We start from the raw sequence: 26,442 nt of genomic DNA on the forward strand, positions 1-26,442 counted from the left end.
GTCTCCTCCCCACCTTTCTGCCACATCTTTCTCCCAGCAGGGCTAGTGTACCACTGAACACATGAGGATGCTTAATTCTTGAATTAAATTCAGAGAATCTGATGACTTATTCTTCATGATGATATGGGGTAAAAACAAGGGATCAGAAACAGAGCTGATGGGAACTATCAATGTCTGTTTTCAGAAATGAGGGGGACATTTGAATACAAAGGTAGATTATTATTTCAGATTGAGGCATTGCCTTTGCTTATTCAGTATCTTCCTTGCTGTAGTCAGTTCATAACATGCTAGGGAAAACAGAACTGCTATTGACAGTTCAATACATCTGATGAAAAGGCACTTAAATTATTTTAGGGGAATTTCGTTTTCTCAGTAACCCAACTGGGGATACTCTTCATGTTAAAAAGTATGAGGATTGGTCTCTTTTCTAATTTTTCTTTCTTGCTTGTGTAAATGCACAATAAATTCCTTTGACAGTCAGAGGCACAGACAAATGTTATTGGAAATCTCCAACCTGTATTAGGAAGGAGTAACGCTCTTAACAGTGAACTCGCTGGGGGACATTCTATTATGATGTCATGACTTCTTACTCTTTACAAATGTCAGCAACATTCATCTTTAAGAGTTTCACTGCTCTAAACGTATATATTTCTTGCCACTGGTTCATTCATTCAATATAAACACCACTGTGTCCAGGGACTGATGTCTATTTTCAGTTCAGACTGGTTCTTGTGTCTTAATACACACTATTCACTGTGTAATAATTTGATGTCCTTTCTTCTTCATGTTTGGTATATAAAACAAGAGCATTTGAAGGTGTATTACATGCACAAATTTTAACCATATTCTGATGAAAATCTTAGATTCTGACATAGTGTTTCATCATACTGCATACTCTTATGTGAAATTCTTATTTTACAGATAAGGTCCAGAAGGGTGCAATGACTTATTCAAGATCACACACAAGGTTAGGGTTGGAACCAGAAGCCATATCCAGAGCTCCTAATTTCTAGTCTGGTGTTCTGTCTCTCTCTACTTGGCTCTTATTTGATCCACTGTAGCTCATCACAGAATAGCTACTTGGGGCATTTCATTGTTGTTCACATTTCTGAGGCAGAGGAGTTGGCTTACTGTGACTACCACTTCAGTCAAAATGTACTGAGTTTACTCAGAGACCTCACAATTGATTGTTCCTGACCAATAATGCCTGTAGATGACTCTAATGAAACTTCTTAAATGTCGTGAGAAATTGTCTACAAGGCCAGGTAGTCCAGAATTCTGAGATCTTTTCTGATTTAAAATATTATGGTTATGGCTGGGCACAGTGGCTCATGCCTGTAATCCTGGCATTGTGGGAGGCCGAAGTGGATGGATCACTTAAGGCCAGGAGTTTGAGACCAGCCTAGCCAACATGGGGAAAACCCATCTGTACTAAAAATACAAAAAAATTAGTTGGGCATGGTGGCTGGTACCTGTATTCCAACTACTCAAGGGGCTGAGGCAGGAGACTCGCTTGAACTCAGGAGGCAGAGGCTGCAGTGAACCAAGATTGTGCCACTGCACTCCAGCCTGGGCGATAGAGCAAGAATCTGTCTCAAAAGAAAAAAAAAAGAAAAAAAAAGATGGTTATATGTGGCCGCTAGAGATCATCTATTAGATCTTATATTTGAGTGTGGGCCACATTTTTTAGTGGAAAGAACAGTGGAATAGGAAGCAGAACACTATGGTTCTAGTTCTAGCTCTATCATCAGTTGGTCCTGGTCCTCTTTATCTATTAGAAACATACAATAACACCATTGAAAGCTGTTAAGATCCATCCAGATGATATGTGTATTTCTAAAAGTATAAAAATGTAAGATAGTAATTTTAGACTGGCTGTGGTAATCTCTTAAATTATAGCAAGATGGTTCCGTTTGTCACGTAGAAATAAAATGCTAACTGTAATTCCAAGGGACATATGTTTAGTGGTTTGTTCAAAGCAATTCAAATAAATTAATTGTAAATCACAGCGAGGAGACAGCATGTGTAGAGGGTGAGAATACAGATTCTGGAACCTGGTTGTGTGTCGTTTATTTCATGGCTCTGGCACTTAGCAGCTGTGTGACCATGGGCAAATTGCTCTTCCTACCTGTGCCTCAGTTTCCTGTAAACTGTGAATAATAAGAATCCTGCCTCTGTAGGGTTGTGTGAGAATTGACAGAATTAAGATATGTTAAATGTTTGGAATGATGTCTGACTCAGAATAGGTGTGAATGTGACTGTTAGTGCTAACGCAGTACATGTCTAGAGGCTAGGGTTGTGTGGTTAACCAGAGTTTTAGCTGCCAAAACAAGAATAGAAGATTGTGAATAGAAGATTCTGAATACGAGAGGATTCTAATTATGTGATAAACTCAAGTCAGGCAGTCTGGGTAATTTTGGGTAGTCACTGGTCAATTTTCTCTTTTGCTTTAGATGGGTAGACAAAACCAGACAGAAATAGAACTCTCTTCTAAGTATGGTGAATTGGCACCATTTCTAAAAGGCCTGGGGCTTATTTACTGATATGTTGATAGAGTGATATGCTCCATTTATACCAGTAAGTATTCTTTGGGTAGATCTTGCCTATTTATATGTGTGTGTATGTTTGTTTGTTTGTTTGCTGTTAAGGCTAAACTTGAAGTTAATTTTCCCTAGTATAGAAACAAAGAGGGTTGGCTGGATGCGGTGGCTCACGCCTATAATCCCAGCACTTTGGGAGACCAAGTAAGACAGATCACTTGAGGTCAGGAGTTCGACACCAGACTAGCCAACATGGTGAAACCACATCTCTACTAAAAATATAAAAATTAGCCAGGCATAGTGGCGCACACCTTAGTCCCAGCTACTTGGGTGGCTGAGGCATGAGAATCGCTTGAACCCAGGAGGAGGAGATTGCAGTGAGTCGAGGTTGTGCCACTGCACTCCAGTCTGGGTGACCGAGAGAGATTCTGTGAAAAAAGAAAAGAAAGGAAAGGGGAGGGGAGGGGAGGGGAGGGGAGAGGAGAAAGGAAAGGAAAGGAAAGGAAAGGAAAGGAAAAGAGGGTTTTCTTAGTTTAAGATGGCTTGCATATGCTTTTATCTCCTCTTATTCTTGAGAATTTATTAATACCACACTGAAGAAATAAAACTGGTATCATCACATAAAAGTGAAGAGAAGGGGAGGGGGGCTATGCATGGACAATGGGGTTCTAGAAATTTTTGGATGATATAAAATGGAAGAGTATTGATAACTATTCAGAACAGCAGAGACTACAGTGGTTTGACTTAAGGAATCCCAGCAAGACTATAAGAAATAGTCTTGAGACTATAAAAAAAATGGTTGACAGTGAGAAATGCAGAGGAATAATTAATCCCTTTACCCCCTACCTTTTCTCCAGCATTTATTGCTAAGTTGATTTAAGAAATAGACGGAGGACTGCAATGGACTGAATGTTTCTGTCTCTTCCAATTCTTATGTTGAAACCCTAACCCCATGGGATGGTATTTGGAGGTGGGAACTTTGGAGGATGATTAGGTCATGAAGGTGGAGCCCTATTGGGATTAGCAGCCTTATAAAATGAGGCCAGAGAGCTAGCTGGCTCTCCCTCCACCATATGCAGATTCAACATGAAGACTGCTGTCTGTAAACCAGGAAGAGGGCCTTCACCAAGCACCTGACCATGCTGGCACCCTGATCTTAGATTTCCAGCCTCTAGAACTGTGACAAATAAATGCTTGTTGTTTTGAAGCCTCCCAGTATATGGTATTCTATTACAGTGGCCCAAACTAAGATAAAGACTTGAAAAAATTTGAATATACTTTTTTTTTTTTGATGAGTAGGGGACTGGGGAGCATCAAGAAAATGAATGGCAGGGATGGTTCCACAGAGCAAAACTCTCCACCTAGCAGTACTTGAGGAGCCATTGGCACAATGACGGCTCCTCACTGGCTCACCCTAAAGTCGAATTGGCCTTTTGACAAGCCTCACCCATGAACACAGAGACACAATTATTATTATGAATGAACACTGCAAAGAAGCCCAAGACAGCTGATGAAAGTCTTCAGCATTACAGAGAAAGAGCTACAAAAACATGGAAAAAACTAATCTTAAAGGAAGCAGGTGATTCAGAGTTCAGAAAGTGCAGAAAATAAAAAAGTTATAATTGGCCTCCTCAGAGAGATGTGAGATATTACATCCATAAAACAGAGCATGATGCTGTAAAAGTGAATAATCAGGGAATAAAGAAGAGCTTCTAAAGGTAAAAATATTACTATTGATATACAAAATACATTAGAAGATTTGGAAGTTAAATTTTTAAGATAGCTGTGAGAATATAGCATAAAAAGACAAGAAAACAGAAACAAGAGAAAAAGATAAGACACAGAAATCAATCTATAAATGTTCAATGTTCAACTGGTAGGAATTCTAGAAATTAATAAGTGAAAAAAATCAATGGAAATAAATTTGTAATCATATAGGAAAATTTTCCAGAGTTAAAAATTGTCACAAATTCTCACATTGAAAAGACAGTGGGCTGATCAGAATGATAATATAGTTTTTTTTTTTTTTCAGACAGAGTCTTACTCTGTCTCCCAGGCTGAAGTGCAGTGAAGTGACCATGGCTCGTTGCAGCCTTGACCTCCCGTGTTCAGGTGATCCTCCCACCTCAGCCTCCCAAGTGGCTGGGACGACAGGTGTGCACAACCATACCCAACTAATTTTTTGTAAAGACGGAGTTTCACCATGTTGCCCAGACTGGTCTTGAACTCCTGAGCTCAGGTAATCCATCCATCTTGGCTTCCCAAAGTGCTGGGATTCCAAGCATGAGCCACTGCCCGTGGCTGAAAATATCATTTTGAATCTTTAGGACACAAAGGTTAAATGAAGAGAATTAAACTTATTAACTAAGAGAAAAAAAAAGATCCACATTTTCTCTGACTGTGCATCAGCACACTGGATCCTAGAAAGCAATTGAACACTGACTTCCATCTCTGAAAGAATTCTCAGCCAAGAATTCGATGTCCTGGTAAATTATCAATCAGGAAACCAGAATAAAGTCATTTTCAGTTATGCACTCTTTCTTAGGAAATTACTTGAACATGGATAGCAGAAAAAATGAGGATGAGAATTTAAAAAATGAAGTTATGAGCTTCAAATAGCCATGCATCCAAGGGAGAAGCAAAACTGCAGGATGACATTTCTGTAGCACACCTAGGGAGACCAGATGGGAGAGAAGAAGAGAAGACTTCAGGAAGTAGGGTTCTGGGAAAACAATGAGTTCAATATGATAAAAAGTACAATTGGAAGTAAAAAAAAAAAAAAAAGTCTGAGAACATGATAAAGGAATCGAACTTAAGGAAAAAACAAACCAAAAAACCCACTGAAATTCTAGGAATAACAAACAGCTTTACAAGAAAAATCTTGGTCCGCGCATGAATATCCTAAATTACATTAGGAGACTGGTCAACTTTAAGAAAATGGAAAAAATTTCAATCCATAGAAAGAATGAAGAAGAAATTGAGCAATATTAGGTAAAAAATGGATAATTCTCCCAACAAAGACAGAGAAAGGAAAAATATACAAGAAAACATCATTTAAAATAGCAGACTAAAATGTAGCCTAATTTTGATCAATATTTATAAAAGGAATCATAACACAAATTTTAAAAAGCAGGCTAAAATGTAAAATCATTTAAAATGTAAAATTTGAAAAATGATTTTTTTTGTAAAAAAATTTTACATTTTTATAAATGTAAAATCATTTTAAAAAAGCAGACTAGGCCGGGTGCGGTGGCTCACGCCTGTAATCCCAGCACTTTGGGAGGCTGAGGCGGGCGGATCACAAGGTCAGGAGATTGAGACCATCCTGGCTAACATGGTGAAACCCTGGCTCTACTAAAATTACAAAAAATTAGCCGGGCATGGTGGCAAGTGCCTGTAGTCCCAGCTACTCGGGAGGCTCAGGCAGGAGAATGGCATGAACCCGGGAGGCAGAGCTTGCAGTGAGCCGAGATCACGCCACTGCACTCCAGCCTGGGGGACAGAGCGAGACTCCGTCTCAAAAAAAAAAAAAAAAAAAAGCAGACTAAAATGTAGCCTAATTTTGATCACTATTTAAAAAAGGGAATCATAACACAAATTTCTATTTAAAATGGCATTATTATCTATTCACTTATTTATTGTTTCTTCATTAATAGAAAGTAAGCACTATGTTGGCCTTGTATACCACTCTATTGCCAGCATGTAGAAGAGTGTCTGAACCTGCATAGTTACCTGGTAAATATTTGTTGTTTGAATGGAGAAGTAAATGGTTTCCCTGTAGTTATGGCAAAGTAAGTACTTGTTATTCATTTTCAGCTTTTGGAATCAACCTGTAGAAAAAGACTTAGTTCTAGTTATGGGGCAGATACTGTGTCCTAGGTCTTGATATTGTCGGTCCTGATACTGGAAAATTAATCATCACAGATTGCACTTACATAGTATGAACCACAATCCTGATACTGCTGTACATATTCACATACACAAATTCACTTAACCTTCACTATGAACTATTTACATTATTATTATTTCCATATTACACCTTTCCATAACAGCCAAGAAAAGCTGAGAGATGGCAGGGATGAGGACCGGTGGAGAAAAGTATAGAGTGTGAAGCAGGCAACTCTTCTTTTATTATAGATCCTTCTGGACTACTTTCTTTTAAATCATGGGCATGATAAAAAACTTTGATAAAAAATTAAAAAGAAATTCTCAAATGTGGCAGGCACATGGGGCTGTGTTATATAAAGGGAAGCACCATACAGTGTGACACAGTAAGACCTTATGGCTTCTTGGGAATGACCAGGAGTAATAGTCTATTTCACATGGCATGTAGGTTTTAAGGCACTAACTGGGTATTTTGGAATGGACCCTGATGTGGGAACAAAAGGGAAATTTCATTATGATGATTTCCCACTAATGCACATTACATGTTAATTAACATTTACTTAAACAGTGAGGTCTTAGTCTTGTTTCTATAAGTTGAATAAAATTTGAGTATAGCAAACAGCCTAATAATTTAATCAGTCTTAATTTCTTAATGCTAGGATCTTAAAATTTTTATTTTTGTATTGGAACACCAATGGGATTGTGCATAAACAATATTTTATGCTATGCTTTCTGGATTCAATATGATACAAAATGATAGGGTTTCTTATGTAGGAATATATTTAGTAGGGTTCACCTTTTTATGAGCAATAAAAGGACTTGAACATGATAAAGAATACAATTACGTGGTATATAAAACAGGTATTGTTACTATGCTATTTATATATGTGATTTCTCTCAGGATGGTGATGTGAAACCAAAGGATTCATCTGGTAGTTTCTTACAGACTGAATGGATGGCATTGGCTGAAACAGCACTTTTACAGCTTTCTGTTTTTTCACTTTCAAACTGCACTTGAATCTCGTAGACATACTCTTTGAAGATCAGAAGATTTAGAGCATACTATGCTCTTTCTAAATAAAAGCATAATGTAAGTGGAAGGAGAAATTGTTAAAAAAAATGGGGGTATCAAATGTAGTGAATGACCTCAGCATATTTAGAGGTCGATTGTAGAGTCAGAAATGAATTACCCTGCATTAGAGATGCTGGATGATACAATAGGTTGTGGAAATTGGAAAGAAATAGGTAAAAATAATAGGTCAAACCTATTACATTGGCCTTTCTTCAGTGTAATTTTGTGCTGGAAAGCATTGAACCAGATATTACCCTGTGTTTACTGAAGAAGAAAACATTGAAGCTATTACAATTTTTATGAAATAAAACAATCAGTTGAGTAAAAACTGTGTCAGGAGATGCTTGACATGGGTGTTTGTATCCAAGGTATATGACAGCTAAATGAGTTTTGCTCATTTACATTTAATATTTATACTTAAAAAGTAGTTTGAAGTCTTATAGATAATGAATATATTGTTAAACCCAGAATGCCTCCTTTTAAAGAATAACTAAAGCCTATTAGTATGGAAGCAATATTTATTAAACACTCTACATTAACCCCATGAGAGTACACTATATATTGTCTTTCATACCACTTTGGCAAAAATAATAGTAATTTTAAAATTACAATGTTATGGCTGGATGTGGTGGCTCACACCTGTAATCCCAGCACTTTGGGAGGCGAAGGCAAGCAGAACACTTGAGGCCAGGAGTTCGAGACCAGCTTAGCCAACACGGTGAAATCCCCGTCTCTACTAAAAATACAAAAAATAACCAGGCGTGGTGGTATGTGCCTGTCATTCCAGCAACTCGGGAGGCTGAGGCATAAGAATCACTTGGACCCAGGAGGCGGAGGTTGCAGTGAGCCAAGATCATACCACTGCACTCCAGCCTGAGTGACAGCATTGAGACTCTGTCTCAAAAAAATGAAAAATAAAAAAATGCTGGGTGCAGTGCCTCACGCCTGTAATCCCAGCACTTTGGGAGGCCGAGGCGGGCAGATCACGAAGTCAGGAGATTGAGACCATTCTGGCTAACACGGTGAAACCCCGTCTCTACTAAAAATACAAAAAAATTAGCCGGGCGTGGTGGCGGGTGCCTGTAGTCCCAGCTGCTGGGGATGCTGAGGCAGGAGAATGGCGTGAACCCAGGAGGCAGAGCCTGCAGTGAGCCGAGATCACACCACTGCACTCCAGCCTGGGCGACAGAGCAAGACTCCATCTCAAAAAAAAAAAAAAAGTTTTTTTAAGTAAAAAATATTTCGTTTATGGAATTTATGTTAGCTGGATATTAGTCTCAGTCTCTATAATTTTATAAAAAGTTGAGTTCCAAAGTAAGTTACATTTTTTTTTCAGACATATTTGTTTAGACCAGTAAACTGAGGCTAAATTTAATTAGCAGCATCTTACTATGCATATTGACATACCCAGCAGTAACACCTTCATGTATGCAGCTTTTCTCTGATCTCTGCTCTTAACGAAGAAAGAACTCTTTATATGTGCCAAGACTGGTACAGGGTAACAAGTGGGAGTATTTTTCCCCTCTCACAATGATAGGAGAAAATAATTGGCAGGATCTCTGGTGTGACCTCCCTCTTCACAGGTGTTGTTCAGCACTCCCGACAACCTTGAACTGGGTGTCGCTATTCTTATTCTGGCGGTTTCTTTTTTTACTGAGTTCTTATGCAACTTTGGCAGTGGAAAAGAATAAGCATGTTGATGGGTCCAGGAGAGCAGTGTGTGAGATCCATTGGCTAAAAGTGGAATGTTCTCAATTAACTTTTTATTCACAGAGACAGCCAATGCTGGTGTGGCCATCAGAGCACTCTAGGACTACGCCCTCATTCTATAGCTATGTAAAGAAACTGAGTTCCAGAAAGGCAAGCAGTTCGCCCTCGAAATGTGGCCCTTCTCCTGAGTTCCTTAGGTCATATAGTGAGACTATTATCTACTTCATTCTCTGGCCAGAAACCAGGAAGCGCACTCATTTCCACACCTCTTTTTCCCTAGGTGTGCCTTCAAGTCCTCTTTTCTTCTACCTTTTTAATCTCCAACTTATCCGTTTTTTAGCTAGAGCCCTCAATTTCTGAATTATTCCAATATCACGTATCACCCTGCATGCCGTCCTGTGTTCTGTTGACTGGGATTTCCCTGGCTCTTAGATGAGCACCCTCAGCAAAGCACCAACTTCTATCTTCTTGTTAGTCCTGCTCAACTAGTTAAGCAGCTGAACGATTTCTGGAGGCAAAGCTCACTGGCATAAGGTCATCCGCTTTCATGCATTCTCTCCATCCATAACTGTCCAAAGTCAGCCCTTCTTCACCCCCTCCTCTTCCCCTTCTCATCCCCGTTGAGACCTCATCCTCAGCTCCCAGAAGACCTGCACTTGTGTACCCCTCTCTCCAGATCTTTATATTTTCTTCATTTCCATCTTATTGTTATAGGAGTTACTAAGAAATTATTTTCGGCAGATAGTTAGGAAAAGGGGTCCTGGGGAAGTTTTTGTTTCTTTTAAAGCAGCTCCAGAAACATTTCTTGTCTAGCAGGAAAGCCACCTTTGACATGCAAATGCTGGCTGTTAGAAACTGGGTCCACCCAAACATGGCGATTCCTGCTGCCTTCTTCTTGCCCTTGGCCTACATGTGCCTGTCAACATGGCTGCCCCCACATATCCCCACGTGTGTAGAACATCATGGTGCCCTGCATTTCCATATTACAAGAGTAGGGTGGGAGGGCCAGTTTTTTCTAGGGCTACGTGAATGACATGCCTGGTTAAACCAATCTCCTGAGCCCTATGCAAATCAGACCACCTCCTCATATAACTGGCTGGTTTCCACCCTGCAGTAGGAGTTTCCTCTCTTGGCTTTGGAGCCTCCCCTCCCTCTGTCTCTGTACAGGGAGCTTCTTCCTTCTGTCTTCTCCCTTCTTTCTTGCCTGTTAAACTTTCCGCTCCTTAAAACCACTCCATGTGTGTCTGTGTCGTTTTATCAAAACTGGTGCGAGGACCAAGAACCCTGGTGTTCCTCCACTCATCAGAGCTGTATCATTATTATAGTCTGAGGAGATGGTGCTCTTCTTCCTAATCATAGAGCCAACTTTTATCATCATGGAGGCTTCACCTAATTGTCCATGGTATAGTTATTGCAGCTGATTGAAGCCAGAGCTATGACCCTTCTCAAATCTTCTTATCTTTAGTTCTGGCCTAAAAATTTGAGCATATGCAACTTATTTTTTCTCTTGGCACAAAGTTTCTTGGTTACCTTTAAAAATCGGCCCACTAAACATACATTTGACTGTCTTAACTTCTATGCCGCTTATATACACCTGCTTAATTGTGTCTATTCCTTAAAATTTAATCAACCATTGTCATCATCCTTATATAGGCCACCAGAATGTCTCTCTCTCATGTATGATCATGTTTTCCCCTCGTTTAAAATTACTCTATGGTTTTTAAATTACTTATGGCTAAATACTAAACCAAATGCACCGCATGCTCATCTCAGTCTACTTCTGGCCAAACTTTCAGTCCTCATTTCTCACTGCTCTCCTGAACACAGCTTTCTTCTGGGTATTTCCAGTGTTTACTACAGTGCAAACCACCTAATAAATACTCAAAATAATGGTGATATCCGCCCTAAGCCATTTATACTTCTAATAAATCATGTTCTCTTTGCCCCTGTACATTTTTTCCTTGTCTAATACCCCTGCAATTTCTCTTCCTCCTCATCCGCTTGACTGTCTAGGCTGAACTCCAGAGGGCCTCCCCTGGGGACCCCTCCTACCTAATGTCTCTCTAACAAAGTGTCCTTCTGTATTCCCACATCTCTTCTGTAGCACTTTGTGTTGAAATTGTTTGCCTGTCTGCATTAGACCACGACAGTATTTGTTTAGTTCATCTTTGTATGTCATGCCCTGCACGTTAGCAGCCACAGAATGAGCATATATTTTTGGATGGGGCATAGTTTTTATTTTTTTATTTTCATTTTGTCTCACCTTTGGCATAAGTTGGTATAATCTAGAAGTCTTTTCTTTAGAGACAGGGTCTCAGTTTGTGGCCCACGATGAGTGCACTGGTGTGATCATAGCTCACTGCTGCCTCGACTTCCTGGGTTCAAGGAATCCTCCTGCCTCAGCTACCTGAGTAGCTGATACTACAGGCGCGTGCCACCATACCCGGCTAATTTTTAAATTTTTCATTGAGACCAGATCTCACCATCTTTCCCAGGCTGGTCTCAAACTCCTGGGCTCAAGCTATCCTCCCTCCTTGGCCTCCCAAAATGCTGAGATTACAGGCTTGAGCCACTGTGCCTGGCATAATCTGGAAGTCTTTAGAATGACCATGCTTACTATGAACTCTTGTCCAAAAAACATCCTCTCTCCCCTTCCACTCCAGGAAGATACTGCCAAGGCGCTCCTTCTGACATCTACATGCCAGTCTGGGAGAAATAAAATGTATCCCTCTGCTACCAGTCTGATGATTACACTTCTTGCAGAGTTCTATAAGGGAGGATACTTCTCATGATTCAGGTCTTTGTCTCTCTTAGTTTACTCCTGGACAGTGGCTTCATTGTTACCAAATAAAGCTACCAAGCAGATCTCTTTATAGGGTAGGCCCATGTTAAATCTCAAACAATCAAATAAATTTATCCTCAGGAGACCATACCTCCATATATATATTTCCATATGTATATACGTGCATATGTAAATGTACATATTCACATATATGTGTATAACTCTATATCTAATCAGTGTATATATTTAAATGTTCAGAACACTATAACAATATAGATGTTCATTATTATAGAGAATGCAAGTAGTAGGCTATCTAGCTTTTTATTACAAGAGACTTACTTCTTAGAAACAGTTTCCAAATATATTGAGCATTGTTGGATGACTTTTTTGCCCTTCTCCATTATAAAAATGATGATAGAATTTAAAAGTTAGAATTTCTATGAGATGAGAGGTGGTGTGCATTACGTTATATTGCTTACTAAAACTCTAATTTGACTTATGAAAACTACAGATAAAACATGTACCCTGGATTTTAAGAAAACACATCAAAGAGCAGCCCCAGGTTGGACAGTAATTTTTATTTTGGCCCTTTCCCCATATTTATGCCTTATGTTCCAAAGACCCAACTAGTTGTTTTATGTGGAACTTGCCCTTCTGACCTCAAACAAATGTTTTGCTCAATGGCAGGTCAGTGAATTTGGAAACATGCTCTCCAAGAGATGGGTAGTTCTTATAAATGAGTTGGCTTGAACAGAGTCATTTTTTGGGGGGATATACAATTGGCTTTTTATCAGTTTTATGACCCTATTTGATAGACTGTTACTTTCTTTTTTCCCACTGGTATTTGCCATAGGAACTTTTATGATTTGTTTTGAGACTTATTTAAAAACATGTCTATTCATCTGAACAGAACATTGATGTTCGTGAAAAATCTCACTGTCGTTGACTTTTTATAGAATTATTGTGAGATCTGTTTATTTTCAGATAAAGATGTCTTTAAACATTTTGTATTGAATACAGACCCCTGCTTGCCTATCTCTGTGCTTTTATTCTAGCTGGGATTTCAATGACTATTGAGTATTTTTTCCATACCCTGGAGACAGGCCATCTCTCTTTCATTCTTTAGTACAAATATTTATCAGTTTCACAAGAAGTTGAGATGATTGTCTTGAGCATATAAATTGCCCCAGAGGTTTCTGGCTAACTTGCCTATAGAAACTGTGCCTATGATTAATAAGCAATTATGCTGTAGCAATATTTTCTTTGCTGAGAAAAAGGCAGTAACTGTCCCTGCTCATTATGAAATAGATGTGGCCAAAAGTGCAGTTGTAGCCTGTCATAGAACATTTGGCACCTCTGCTAAAGAGGTGAAATTATGATACTAGAAAAACAGTCTGGGCGGGTATCAAATATGCTGGTGTTAGACAAACACTTGGCTGTGGCTTGTGAAGTCCTAATGGGTGCCCTTCAAACCCCTATGTGAAGGCCTCAGTTGGAATCAGTTTTTGCCGTGTCAAAAGACCAACCAATATTACAGAAGCAGATTTAGTCTCTCATGAAAGCAGCTAGACCTCAGCTAGTTTATTTCTAACTTTTTCCATGTTTCATAGAACAGTATTACCTCATTAAAAATCATGTGTAATAGTATTACACATTAAAAATTTAATGTGTAATGTAATTTAATGTGTAATAGTATTACACATTAAAAATCAGCCAGTGTTAGGGGGACAAAGGATGGGTAGATGGTAGTCACATTACCTATTTTTCTACTATTGAAATAAATAAATCCAATGATGTTGATATAGATAACATAATTTTACCCTTAAAAAAAGCCAAAATATATTTTTATTTTGAATTTCCAGTATTGGCAAGACTGGTTTTGCATCTCTTTGTTTCAGTTTCGCTGTAGTCTAAAGGTTAAGGCATAGTCATGTTATCCAATCTTGAGTGTTCATACCAAATCTATAAAATGTAAAATGCTTTATCTTAGCTTTCCAAGCAAGGGTATTAATTTAATTCAGATGCTGCACTTCAGGATTTTAGCGAAATATTGAAGTTTGAATTCTCTGCTCAAGCCTCATTAGTAGTGATTAGGTAACACAAATGCATCTCTGATTTATGCATGTCTAAAAATGATTATGAAAAGCCATCTTGTGCAGAGTTGATTGTTTTTATGTACAGTTTTGTCCTTCTAGGCCATCTTCTTCAAACACTGTAATCAAATTGTCCACCTTTGGGATATAGCACTGGCAGACTGCTTGTACGCTGCAAATTAACATTATAGATATGGTTCTAGAAATTGAGAAGATAGATATTTTTGTGATAATGAGAGGTTGGGATTAAATGTACAGAAAAGGAAATTTATACTAGGAGGTTTTTCCTTTTTTTAAGATACTATAAATTTCTAAATGAATTCCTGACATTTGGAAATGTTTTGATAGTCCTTCATTTGTATAAAGCTTTATGTGTAGCAGCCTCATTGACTTGTTTTTGTTTAGTCTGGTTTTTATGTGATCGTTTTTACCTCTGTTGAATTGGCGAAAAATAATTTAACATTTTACCAAGGCTTTAGCTGGCACAAGAAAACTCTGAATCCAGCCAGGAATTTTTCTGTGGCCTAATTTTCACATTGCAATGAACATAAAATTTGCATCTTGTTTTATTTTTCACTCTCTTTACTGGTATTTGTGTAATGCAGAATTAAATTTTGTGGAGCATTAACTAACCAAGGAGAACATAACCCTCAGCACATCTATATGGTAAACCTGTTAAATTCATAGAGATTCAGAACTTGAGGGTAAATAGCTGTCTTTTGGAACAATATTGAGTTTGTGCTCCAAACAAATGACACCACTGAGCAGCAGGAACTCAAGTGTTGAAGGAGACATTTTTCTTACTCCAAGAAATTACAAAGTTCTCCTTTTTTCCCTTAAAAGATTGACAAAAATCCATTGACATGAAATAATTTAGCTTACTTTTAATATTTTGGAGGCAGACTGCAAATTAAATATGCAATCACAAATCCAATTTTCAATGTCATTCAAATTTTCTTTTCAAAAATGTGAATTTTAAGAAAATTATATTAGCTTTCTGATTTTTTTTTTCAATTACCAACAGTTCTATCAGGAATCACAAAAGTCTTGTGTCTTAAAATAATCTACATTTTTCTAATATGCAATTAAGGGAACTGTTAGATTATTTAGGGAAATATGGCTGCTCCCAGGTCTTGGAGAAGTTCTTTTATGCCTGGCTATTAATTTTCTTTTGGCACCTATTCTTCTATGTTTTTTATTTCCATACCCTGGAGTATGGAATTCCTCTATGTTTTTTAAGACATTCCTCTGTGTTTTTTATTTCCCCCCCAGGGTGGGTTAGAGAATCCGTAGGAACTTTCTACCCTACTACCTGGGAGGAATTGCATGATGAAATTTTACCGTGCTTGCAAGCTAACAGGTTACTCTGCCATAGTTTTATGGATGCTGGCAAGAGACATGAGACCCTTGGGTCAGAGACTCATGGCATGACAGGTGCCATGAGCTTTGGGGTTGCCCCTCTACCTCCAAGTCCCATGGAGGAGATGCGGAGTACCCTAGGTAGATGCTGTGCACACAAGGATTTGTGACACAGCTAAGGATCCCTGAGCATAAGAAAATCCCAGTATTTTACAATGGACCATGTGTAAACCAGACCAACCATTGCCCTGGAGGAAAATGCTCTTTTTAAAAAAAAAAAAAAAAGAAAAAAAGATTTAGAGAGTACGAGTACATTCTTGCTACGTGGATATATTGTGCTGTGGTAAAGTCTGGGCTTTTATAGTAACCACATCCAAATAGGGTAAATTGTACTCAATAAGTAATTTGTTATCCCTCACCCCTCTCCAACTCTCTCACCTTTTGGAGTCTCCAATGGCTATTATTCCACTTTGTAAGTCCATGTGTACACATTGTTTGCTATAAAAAAGGAAGATACTATCTTTATCTTCTAAGACTGTTTGTCACACAAACACCCTTGAAAGATTAGGCCAGCACAAAAGCTGCTATAAGATGTGCAGAAACACCGTGGAGAACCATCTCTCAACAGCCAAGTGAAAATAACCAGGCCGTGCCTCAATATGCCTTTCCCTAGGTAGTACACCCATGGTGTCCTTTCAGTAGCATTGAAGGAAGCAAAAAACGGGTTCTAGGGTAGAATTATTATTGAAGCTACAAGCCATTTTATTAGCTACTGGTTACTTTGCTCATTCAGAAAGCTTCAAAGTCACCATACGCCTGGAAATCAAATGGACAGCAAGACTAGGATTACATCACAGCACTGCTTAGTACATAACACCCCTTCTTTTCGCCAACTCTGAATAATCTGAAAAATTTAAATATTTCTTGGCTAACTTTTGCTGGCAGTAATGAAGAGAGTCAAGTTTGATCAAAACATTGATATGGAAAAGGGTTTCTTAAGGAGAACTACACTTCCATTTCTGGGTCTTCTCCCCTTTATCTTATCCTCCTTACCTTGCCCTGTTGGTCATCATTGGAAGGAATTGTATAAGATTCTTGAAAGAAGTTGACACAAAAGGGGAAGAATCTCTCCCTTCTCCCTCCACCACTCCCCCACCCCTAGCTTACCCTTGGCCTTCTGAGTCCAGGGTTTCCGCTGTCTTAATATTGGCTTTGTGGGCAGTAGATGTTGTCAAGATTGAATATGTTGCACTGGGCCTTTTCATGGAGCCTGTGGATTAAGGGTCTGGAATTTAGGGCATATATTAGGAACTGAATGTGCCTTAGTTCTGGGCCATCAGTGAAATCATAGTGGGGTCTGTGCTGATGCGGACCAGCCATGGGGGAGTAGGATTTGAGACCTTTGCTTTTTCAATGTGAGTATGAGAGTGACTATGTATAATAGCAATCATTGATTTTGGGGATAATTTAATGAAAAATGTAGTACTATGAAAATTTGATTTTGCTGTGTAAACCTAACATTAATTGTAGTCATTTAAGTGAACGACTTAGCATTTATCTCCAATTACCATGCGGCACAATGATTATTCATAATACTAACTATATGTCAGATCAATGTTTTTAAGTTGCATTGATTATAACACTAAAATCTGCTCATGTGTGATGCTGTCTTCACTTGGAAGGGCGTTTGCTAAAGGAGCAGAGCTTTCTACTTACAACTTAAAACATTTAGGTTTTTTTAATGGATGGAGAGACTCATTTGCATTAGAAAAGTCAGATTTGCAGTCTGTTTGACTGTGAGTCACTATAGACAGTAGAAGAACCCTCAGATCATGAGGATGGTGGTTAGGAATAGGAGCACTGACATTTTAAGACTTTGAGTCTAAAAACTGATTATGTGGTTCACTTCTTGTTTTATTTTTGCCACTTCTGTTATTACCAGGGAATGATATTATTGAACTCTAAAAAAAAAAAAACATACGCCTTTATGCCAGCCAAGCAGAAGAGTATACAATATCTTTGATATGCTGAAAGAAATTGAAGTTAAATGAATTACTGTGTCTGGGAGGGTGAGTGATGTAAATTCCTCCCCTTTTCTGCTTTCTGAATCAGGACTCAGCTTCTATATTTTTGTCTGTCCATCTGACTACTAATTTTACCAGTGTGTCTTAACCAAGATCATTTTGTGTTAAGATTTAATGATTTGGCATGATGTTAAAATGTAGTAAAATTAAGCAAGGACTCTTAAGAGGGAAGTAGATCCCAATAAGTATTAGTTGCGGAAAATAATGTTTTCACCACTACAAGGGGTTGTTGTTGTTGTCGTTGTTTTTAGACAGCGTCTCACTCTGTCACCCAGGCTGGAGTGCAGTGGTATGATCATGGCTCACTGCAGCCTCCTGGGCTCAAGCCATCCTCCCACCTCAGCATCCTGAATAGCTGGGATTACAGGCGTGTACCACTATGCCCAGCTACATTTTTTTTTTTTCTATTTTTTGTAGAAACAGGATCTCATTTTGTTTCCCAGGCTGGTCTTAAATTCCTGGGCTCAAGTGATCTGCCTGCCTTAGCCTCCCAAAGTGCTTGGATTACAGGCATAAGCCACCACACCCAGCCTACAAAGGGTAATTGGGTATCAGTCTCTCTATCACTTATAGGTTATCTACTGTGTGGTCAATATATTTGTGTCTCCAGCCACTAATTGATAGATAAAACAAAATTAAAGGCAATTAGGCAAAAATTTAAAGCAATAAGGCTTGAACTTGAATAAGTGGCTACATTTAGTACTTTGAGTACAGTTTTAATATAGAAGTTTGATAGTTAAATAATTTAGAATTTTGACTTTATTGTAAACCAGTGTGAACTATTTATTCATATTCAGGTTGTTAGCTAAAGACTTTACAACAGTTTCAAACTCTTTGATGCTGGCTCTATAATGGAAACAGAAAGCCTGTGCTTTTGTGAAACAGAGGTAGCCAGGCCAGTGGAATTACTGTGAAAAAATGACCGAATGTCTTTCAAAAGCTGATGGTTAAACCTAGGCCTCTTGAGTTGAGTATTCACAATTTCTTAAGTTGTTCCTGGTACAGTGATGAAGCTATGCTATCCTTTGTGAAGAGTCAATTTCATTGAGTGCTTTTTATTATGTGTATGTTTAGTTGGACAATGGAATTATAAAAACTCAGCTCTTCCAGGTAAACTTTTAGAAGGACAAACGTATTTCTTTGTCTTTTTATTTAGGTGTAGTAGAATGACTACAGTAGGTATTCCAGGAATAGAATTACTGTATAATCACTGCTTTGTTATAATTACTGATGTGTAATACTCAAGAAAACTAGATTGATCTAGCTGTATAATCTGCATCTTGACCCTTTGTGAGAAATCATTTCTGCTGTGTAAAACTGAAGAAGAGTAGATTAATCAGAACATGCATTTTCTATTTATAATCAATTTTCAGATGAGACACAGTGGTCTCAGTTTATCTAGATTTGAATATCCAGTAGCCCTCTACCCCAATTACATGAATTACTGATGTGCAAATGCATTTTCCTAAGTTGTAAGTAAATACATTTTTCTTAGGGATAAGTTATACAAAATTTAATCTTATTTATACATTCTGCTAATATCTATCATGTATATCTGTTACACATGCCCTTAAAATATCAGCCCTGATGGCCTTAGATTTTAAGTTCCTAGAAGATAGTTTCACTTCTACTTTATTATGAAGTTAGCTGAGAAAGTGATCTAATATTGGGGCTTTGCAGAAACATGTTTCTCCCCAGTGATGGTATTTATGCTGAGGTTTTCTTGCTCTAATCTTCTTTTTCCAATAATTTCATTTATGTGGAATTTATAAAACTTTACTTATATTTACATCTACTTTGTTTAAATAAGTCATGGATTTTACTGTGTAGTCTTGATGCTAAATATCTTTTTCTTTCTCCGATTAAGTATTTGTTGCTGTCCAGAGTTCTTCTTTGGAAAATATAGTCATTATGCATATTTAAAATGCATATTTATAAGATAAATTAATCTTTCTGAACTTTTACTATAGCAATCCTTAGCATGTGCAAATGATTTTAAATTTCTAGAATTTTAATTGTAATATTTTAATGCAGTAGTAAAATAATAGGTAAAAAATATTGATCTATATGACTTCAAGTTCTATCAGTTTTAGGGAGGCTGATTACAATTGGCTGAATGACCCTCATTAGAATCCCTGCTCTTATATTGTTTTTACTCTGAAGTATATTTCAGTGGACAAACACTTATTCTTTTAATAGAAAATTTATGTTACTTGAATGTAGCTAGATTGACATTTACCTTTAAAATACTTAATGGAAGCAGTTTGCTTAAGTTATAAAAATGCTTAATGTCCCAAACCTTAAGATGCCAGGATGGACTACTTTAAGACAACCCCAACCTCAAACAATATAAAATTACTCATCTTAACTCTCAACTTCTAGCTTCTCAGGTGGGAGAAAGAGAAAAATTGTTATTTGCTTGGTGACAATGTGGCAGTTACATAAATGTGATGCACAAAGTGAACACATAAATAGTATTTCAGAAACAGAAAATCATCCAAGTCCCTGTTGATTATTGTATAGGTACTAGACATTTTAATGGAATTGCTTCTTAATTACTGAACTCTCTTTGATAGCCATGAAAAAAAATTGGATTGGACAGTATTGATTCCAAGCACTTCTGTTCCTCTTTAGGGAAATTCTGAGCTGGCAAAACACATACAGATGGGCAGACAAGACTGCTTAGTTTGCCCTCTGCTGAATTTGATCAATAGGAACATATTTCTGTATCAAGGAGAAGTGGCTGTGTTAATTTAGACCTGGAAATCTCATCATTAGATACTCTTGAGTAAGAAGATTTAAAATATTTTACTTAAGATATAAATTGCATGTAGGCATTTTTTTTCCAAGAAAACTTGTTTTCCTTTTTCTTCTTTTTTTACAATCATGTCACCTGTTTCATTGAGTTTTTTTATTTTTTCCTCATTAAGAAGGCTAAGAGTCTATACTACTGGGTTCGGTAGCTAGTGGATAAGCCTCCTATTCTACTAGATAACTTTTTTCTTTCCAGTAGTATTGCATGTAGTTTTAGGAACCGGGGAGGAAATAGGATTAACAAAAGATAAGACCCAATTTGCCTACTAACCTGTAGTATCTTTTCTTCTATTGTTACCCAGGTAAACACAATTCCTGCTTTGTATTCTGTATTCCCATACTGTGGTCTTACCTTCATTCATTCCAAAAGCATTTACTAAGTCCTATGCTCAAGGGTAATGGTTGAAAACCTGGAGTCAAGAATATACTGGATATTAGGAATGCCAAATTCTGTTTTTCTGTTTTAAGCATTTATTTATGTAATCATATTGCTAGTTAAAAAAAAGAGAGAGAGAGAGAAAGACGAAGTGTATGGATTGGTTGCACTACATCCGATTTGTGATGCTTCCATCTTATTACAAAATATCCAGAGAAGTTTTTCTTAGATATTTTCTGCTCAGTTCTTTTAATGGAGCCATTTCTCTCTTTGAGTTCAGACTCACTCAAAAGGGTCAGAAGTAATGGAGAAGGAACAAAGCCTTAGCAAGCAGCTGCATTTCATAGTCAAGGTGCTCTGATTCTGATTTGACTTTCTTTTTTAACATTTGGAATAGGTTCTAAGGGACTGTCCTGCCTACCTCATCTGTTACATTTGTCAAGTTCTCAAGACAAAAAAAAAAAAAAAGAATGGTCTTTGAACTGCAGTTTGAGATTTGAAATTCATGGATCATATGTCCATTTTTTGCTATATGTTTTCTGAGGGAGCTGGGACATTATTAAAACCACCTGGGAACTGGATACTGCATGAGACACTGATAAAAATGAAGAGGTTTGTAAGAAAGAGGTGATATGGTTGGGTGTGGTGGCTCACGCCTATAATCCCAGCACTTTGGGAGGCCAATGGGGGTGTGGATCACCTGAGGTCAGGAGTTCGAGACCAGCCTGGCAAACATGGTGAATCCCCGTTTGTACTAAAAATACAAAAATTAGCTGGGCATGGTGGCATGCTCCTGTAATCCCAGCTACCTGGGAAGCTGAGACAGGAGAATTGTTTGAACTCTGGAAGTGGAGGTTGCAGTGAGCCGAGATTGTGTCACTACTCTCCAGCCTGGGCGACAGAGCAAGACTGTCTAAAAAAAAAAAAAAAAAAAAAAAAAGAGGTGACATGAAAAGCAGTGGAGCATTTACAATTTGTAATTGATCCTGGCAGGAGAGGCACTGGGATGTGGTAGTAGGTACTTCCTGAGGATATAATTAATACTTATTTGATGTTTACTAATTTTATCATAAATAATGAAGAAAAAATAAATACATGTCTATAGAACTTCTGAAGGAAAGGAAGAAAAAATGCTTTATCTTGTTCTGAGCCTGAGATATCACTGACTTCAAAAAAGGGCTATCAGAACCATTATGGGCTTGCTTCTCATGAGATCATCTTGGTTATCATATTGGAAAAGTTAAAAAAAAACTGAAAGTCACACTAATTTCAGAATAGAGTATAACGCAATATGGAAAAATACTGAGAATTTAGGCACAGTTCTTAGTAGGTCAGTTAATATTTCTGCTATCGGGGTAGGCACGCAGTTTTGGAAAGAAGATGGACTCTGGTAATTCTACTGTTGCTGTGTTGCAGTGTGTTAATTCCTACATATTCATTTGGATAAAAATGTGATTGTAATTTTTCTCTTGTATTTCAACAATTCTTGGTACAATTGCATACATGTTCCTTTCTCAGCTCTAGGTACACACATTAGCTACAGCTCCATCCCAAGAATGATGTCCTCTAAGTTGTAAAGAGATTGATCAGTGTTCACATTTGCTTTTGTACCTTTAAAATGATAAATTGAATAATGGGATAATCAAGATCTACTTTAATTAGCTGGGTACGGTGTGTGCATATATTTGTAGACCACCATTTAAAATTCAGTGTTTGAAAGTTGTAGGAGTGATGTAAAATTTGACCTGAGAAACATTTTGAAAGGTTATTTGCTTGATTCTTCTTGTGAGTGTAATGATGATTAATGGGCAAATTGGTTTACTTCAAATACTTTTGAGTAGCTAAATTTGCTATATTGCAGTCATTAAAGGCAGGCATTTTATTAGAATCTTATACCTGAAGCTCAAGATAGAGCAAAGATATACACAACACAATAGGCAAAACCAACTTCCATGAAAGAGTGTTATTTTTCCCAGAATTGAACCATTTTTCTATGTGTTTCTAACCCCACTACTGTGCCATTATTAGTATTTGGGAGCAGAAAGCAAACCCAGAATCAGACAGGAAAGTCTAGCTTCAGACTATAAGATAGTACTGGGAATTTAGCAAATTAAACAAGTGTACTCTGTGAAATTAATGTATCTGCTTCAAATTCTTCTACTTATTTAAGTTGTCGATGGTTTTATATGTAGGAGAAAAATTCTTTTAGTTTGGTAACTAAACTTTATCTTGGAATTGTTTCCTTCTCAGAGTTCGTATATTTTCTGTAAGATTCAGTAATGTTTGGTACATATATTTAGTTTATCTTCTTTGAGCTATCAGGTTTTGGAAGTATCATGGTGTTTTCAAAGACAGCTGGGTTAATTCAGCTGTTGGCCTGGTCTATACACCTTTTAAGACTAGATGCAGTCAGTTATGATAGATGCATTTGTTTTTCTTCAGAGAAATACATGTGCATTGGTATTGATTTTTGGTATTTTTACACTTAATAGTAAACTGTGGGAGGCCATTACTTCAGATAACAGAGGCTTTAAGAATTAGACAGCTCAGATGACTCTAAATTCTATTTGTAAGCAGTTTCCAGTTAAGGAGATAGGTCTGGCAGTGTGCCCACTCAGCACAGACCTATTTGACTTGTCTCTCTTTCAATGGTGTGGTTCAGAGCATATAGTCAGGAAGTATAACTTATGTTCAAACAATGCATGGGAGCTGGACATCTATTGCCAAAAACAAGCTGCCTGGGGCAGAAATGAAAAAAGCATCGTAAGTGCTATGGAACAACCCACTGTAGGCTTTTAATTGTCTGCGATTTACATAAGCAACTCTACAAAATGGGAGATACACCCAATTAAATGACAGTAAATTTACTTTGCTGCAGAATGCAATAATTTACATCTTGGTTTCCCCGCATTGCATTAATTACTGATTTGGTAGCAGATAAAAAAGCATCTGGGTGAAATTTAACCTACATATATTCAAATTAACTATAGAGCTGGATTTATCTGTGTATTTATTTACTCATTTATTCAGTATTTTTATGTGCCAGACGTTGGGAATGAGAAGATGTATAAACAGCTTCATATCCTTCAAAAACTGACAGTTCAGCAGAAGTGATTGACATTTAAGTAAAAATTATAATGTATTATAAGAAGAACAACAACAAAATTTGTTTAATGCAATTGTAGTATTCATTTGTACATTTAATAATATTACCTGAGCCTCTACTACATGCCAGAGACACAGTGGTGAGCTGAGGTATACATGTCCTAGAAATAAGGACAGGTCAAATGTTCTTAGAAGAGCACAGCCACTAGGACACCCATTTCTGGTAGTATGAAAGGCTACCTGATTAAAATAACCAAAGACTGACAAAAATATATTTTAAAAATCTTTTAAACTGCATTGCTGAACTAACACAAAAAGGTTGAATCTGAAGAGGCCAAAACTTAAGAGCTGGAATTCTGCAAGGTGGATAAGCTCCAAAGTTGGCTTTCACCCTGAGGTTTTCTGCCAAATCCACAAAACCTTGAACTTTCACATCTGTGCCAAGTGACTCCACCAGATACTTGGGGAACGGGTAATCTATACTCCCTCTGAAAAGGAGGAACAGACAGCAATTCCAAATTCATTATATGGGGCAAGCACAACCTTGATACAAAAACCTGATAAGGAGATTAGAAAAAAATAAAAATTATAGTCTGCTTTCTTCATGAATGGGGATATGGATATCTAATAAAAGTTCTAAGCACATGAAATCCAGATACATCTAACAAGAGAGTGTATAATGATCAAGTTGTGTTATCTCAGGAATGTTAAGTTGATTTAAAATTAAGAAATTGATTACTATGTCACACAAAACAAATTAAAGGATTTTTTGAAAACTTTTGTTTTTCAGGCAGGGTCTGACAGGGTCTGACTCTGTTGCCCAGGTTGGAGTGCAGTAGTGTGATCATGGCTCACTGCAGCCTCAACCTCCTGGGCTCAAGCAATCCTCCCACCTGACCCTCCCAAGAAGCTAGGACAACAAGTGTGTGCCACCATGCCAGACTAGTTTTTAAAGTTTTTGGTAGAGATGGGGTCTTGTTGTGTTGCCTAGGCTGGTCTCAAACTCCTGGCCTCAAGTGATCCTCCTACCTCAGCCTCCCAAAGTGTTGGGTTTACAGGCATGAGCCACTGTGCTCAGCCTAAAAACTTTTAATAGAATGACAAAAAAGGAATTTGAAGAACATCAGCATTTATTTATGACTTGAATAATTTGTGGCGAACTAGGTGTATAATGAAACTTTATTAGTCTGGCAAAAGGGATCTATACAAAACCTACAATAAGCATACACCTACTGGTGAAATATTGAAAGCATTCTTTTTAAGATCAAGAACAAGATAAGAAAGCCCACTGTCACAATTCCTCATTTTTATTATACAGGAGATTTCAGCCAATGCAATGTGACAAACAAAAAGAATGACTGGAGGAAGAAGCAAAACTGTCATTGTTTAAAGGTTATCAATGAAGAAAACTCAAAATGATTTATAAATATATTGCTAGAATTGAGAAGGCAATTTAGCAAATTACTGGGTATAAAATCAATAAATGTATGTATCTGTGTGTCTATGTATGTTTGTATCTATCTATCTAAATGAGTTGCATTTCTAGATGCTAGCACCAAGAATTTGGTGTAGCAATATAAATAAAGTAACAAGAAATAAATCTAACAAGAGTTTTGTAATAACCATATTTCCATTTAGATAATGTGTGAGGTTAGGCAAATAGTACTAGGGAACAATTATAGATTATAAATTTGATTTGAAAAAATTAAAGAAAACCAAAATGGATGGAGAGCTATATCATGTTCCTAGCTAGGAAGACATTAACTTTTCCCAAGTTGATTTATAGGTTCAATGCCAATTTAACCTTAATGGAGTTGTGTGAATTTTGTAACTAGACGAACTGTTTTTTAAAAGATTTATTTGAAAAAAGAAAGTGCAGAGAATACCCGAGACACCCAAGAAGAAGCTGAAGGTAAGACAAACCCTTTCAAATACAGGCTTATTTAAATCTATATTCCAGCTTAGACACTGTAGGGAGTTAGAACTAGAACCACGGAGTAAAATGTAGAGCACACCAAGAACTCAGGCAAATATTAAAACTTAATTTATACAAACAGCATTGTAGAACAGAGGTAAATGTAAATGTAGCTAGGACAAATAATTAATCATATGATAAGAGTGAAATTGGGTGCCTGCCTCCATACCAAGAGTAAATTACAAGTAATTAAAAAATTTAAAAGTGAAAGAGAAAACTATAAAATGTTTAGAGGAAAATATAGGATTATGTTTTTATGACCACAGGGTAGAAAAATATTTCTTGAACAAGACACAAATAATACAAGACACAAAAGAGCAAACCATTTAGTAAGGATTTAACTTGACCATATTAAAACTAAGATATTGTTTATCAAAAGACAATGTAAACAGAAAAGACAAGCCACAAACTGGCAACACATACAGCTGGGAAATAACTAGTAGGCAGATTAAACAAAAGAACTTCCTCAAATCAGTAAGAAAAAGACAATTCAGTAGGAAAATAGAAAATAAACACAAGAAAAAAGGAACATAAATGGCTCACAACATGTGACAAGATGTGAAATAACATTATTAGTCAAGGAAAGAATTGAAAGCAAAGTGAAATACCTTTACCACCCAGTAAAGCTATCAAACTAAAACGTGTTG

General features: G+C 37.3%; 1 protein-coding gene across 1 annotated transcript in view; it reads left to right on the top strand.

Moving 5' to 3' along the window:
- Positions 1 to 26,442, top strand: part of HS6ST3 (heparan sulfate 6-O-sulfotransferase 3) — a 749,456-nt gene that overhangs the window by 347,364 nt on the left and 375,650 nt on the right. The window lies entirely within an intron of this gene.

This window comes from Homo sapiens, chromosome 13 (genome assembly GCF_000001405.40).
Source record: "Homo sapiens chromosome 13, GRCh38.p14 Primary Assembly".
NCBI lineage: Eukaryota > Metazoa > Chordata > Mammalia > Primates > Hominidae > Homo > Homo sapiens.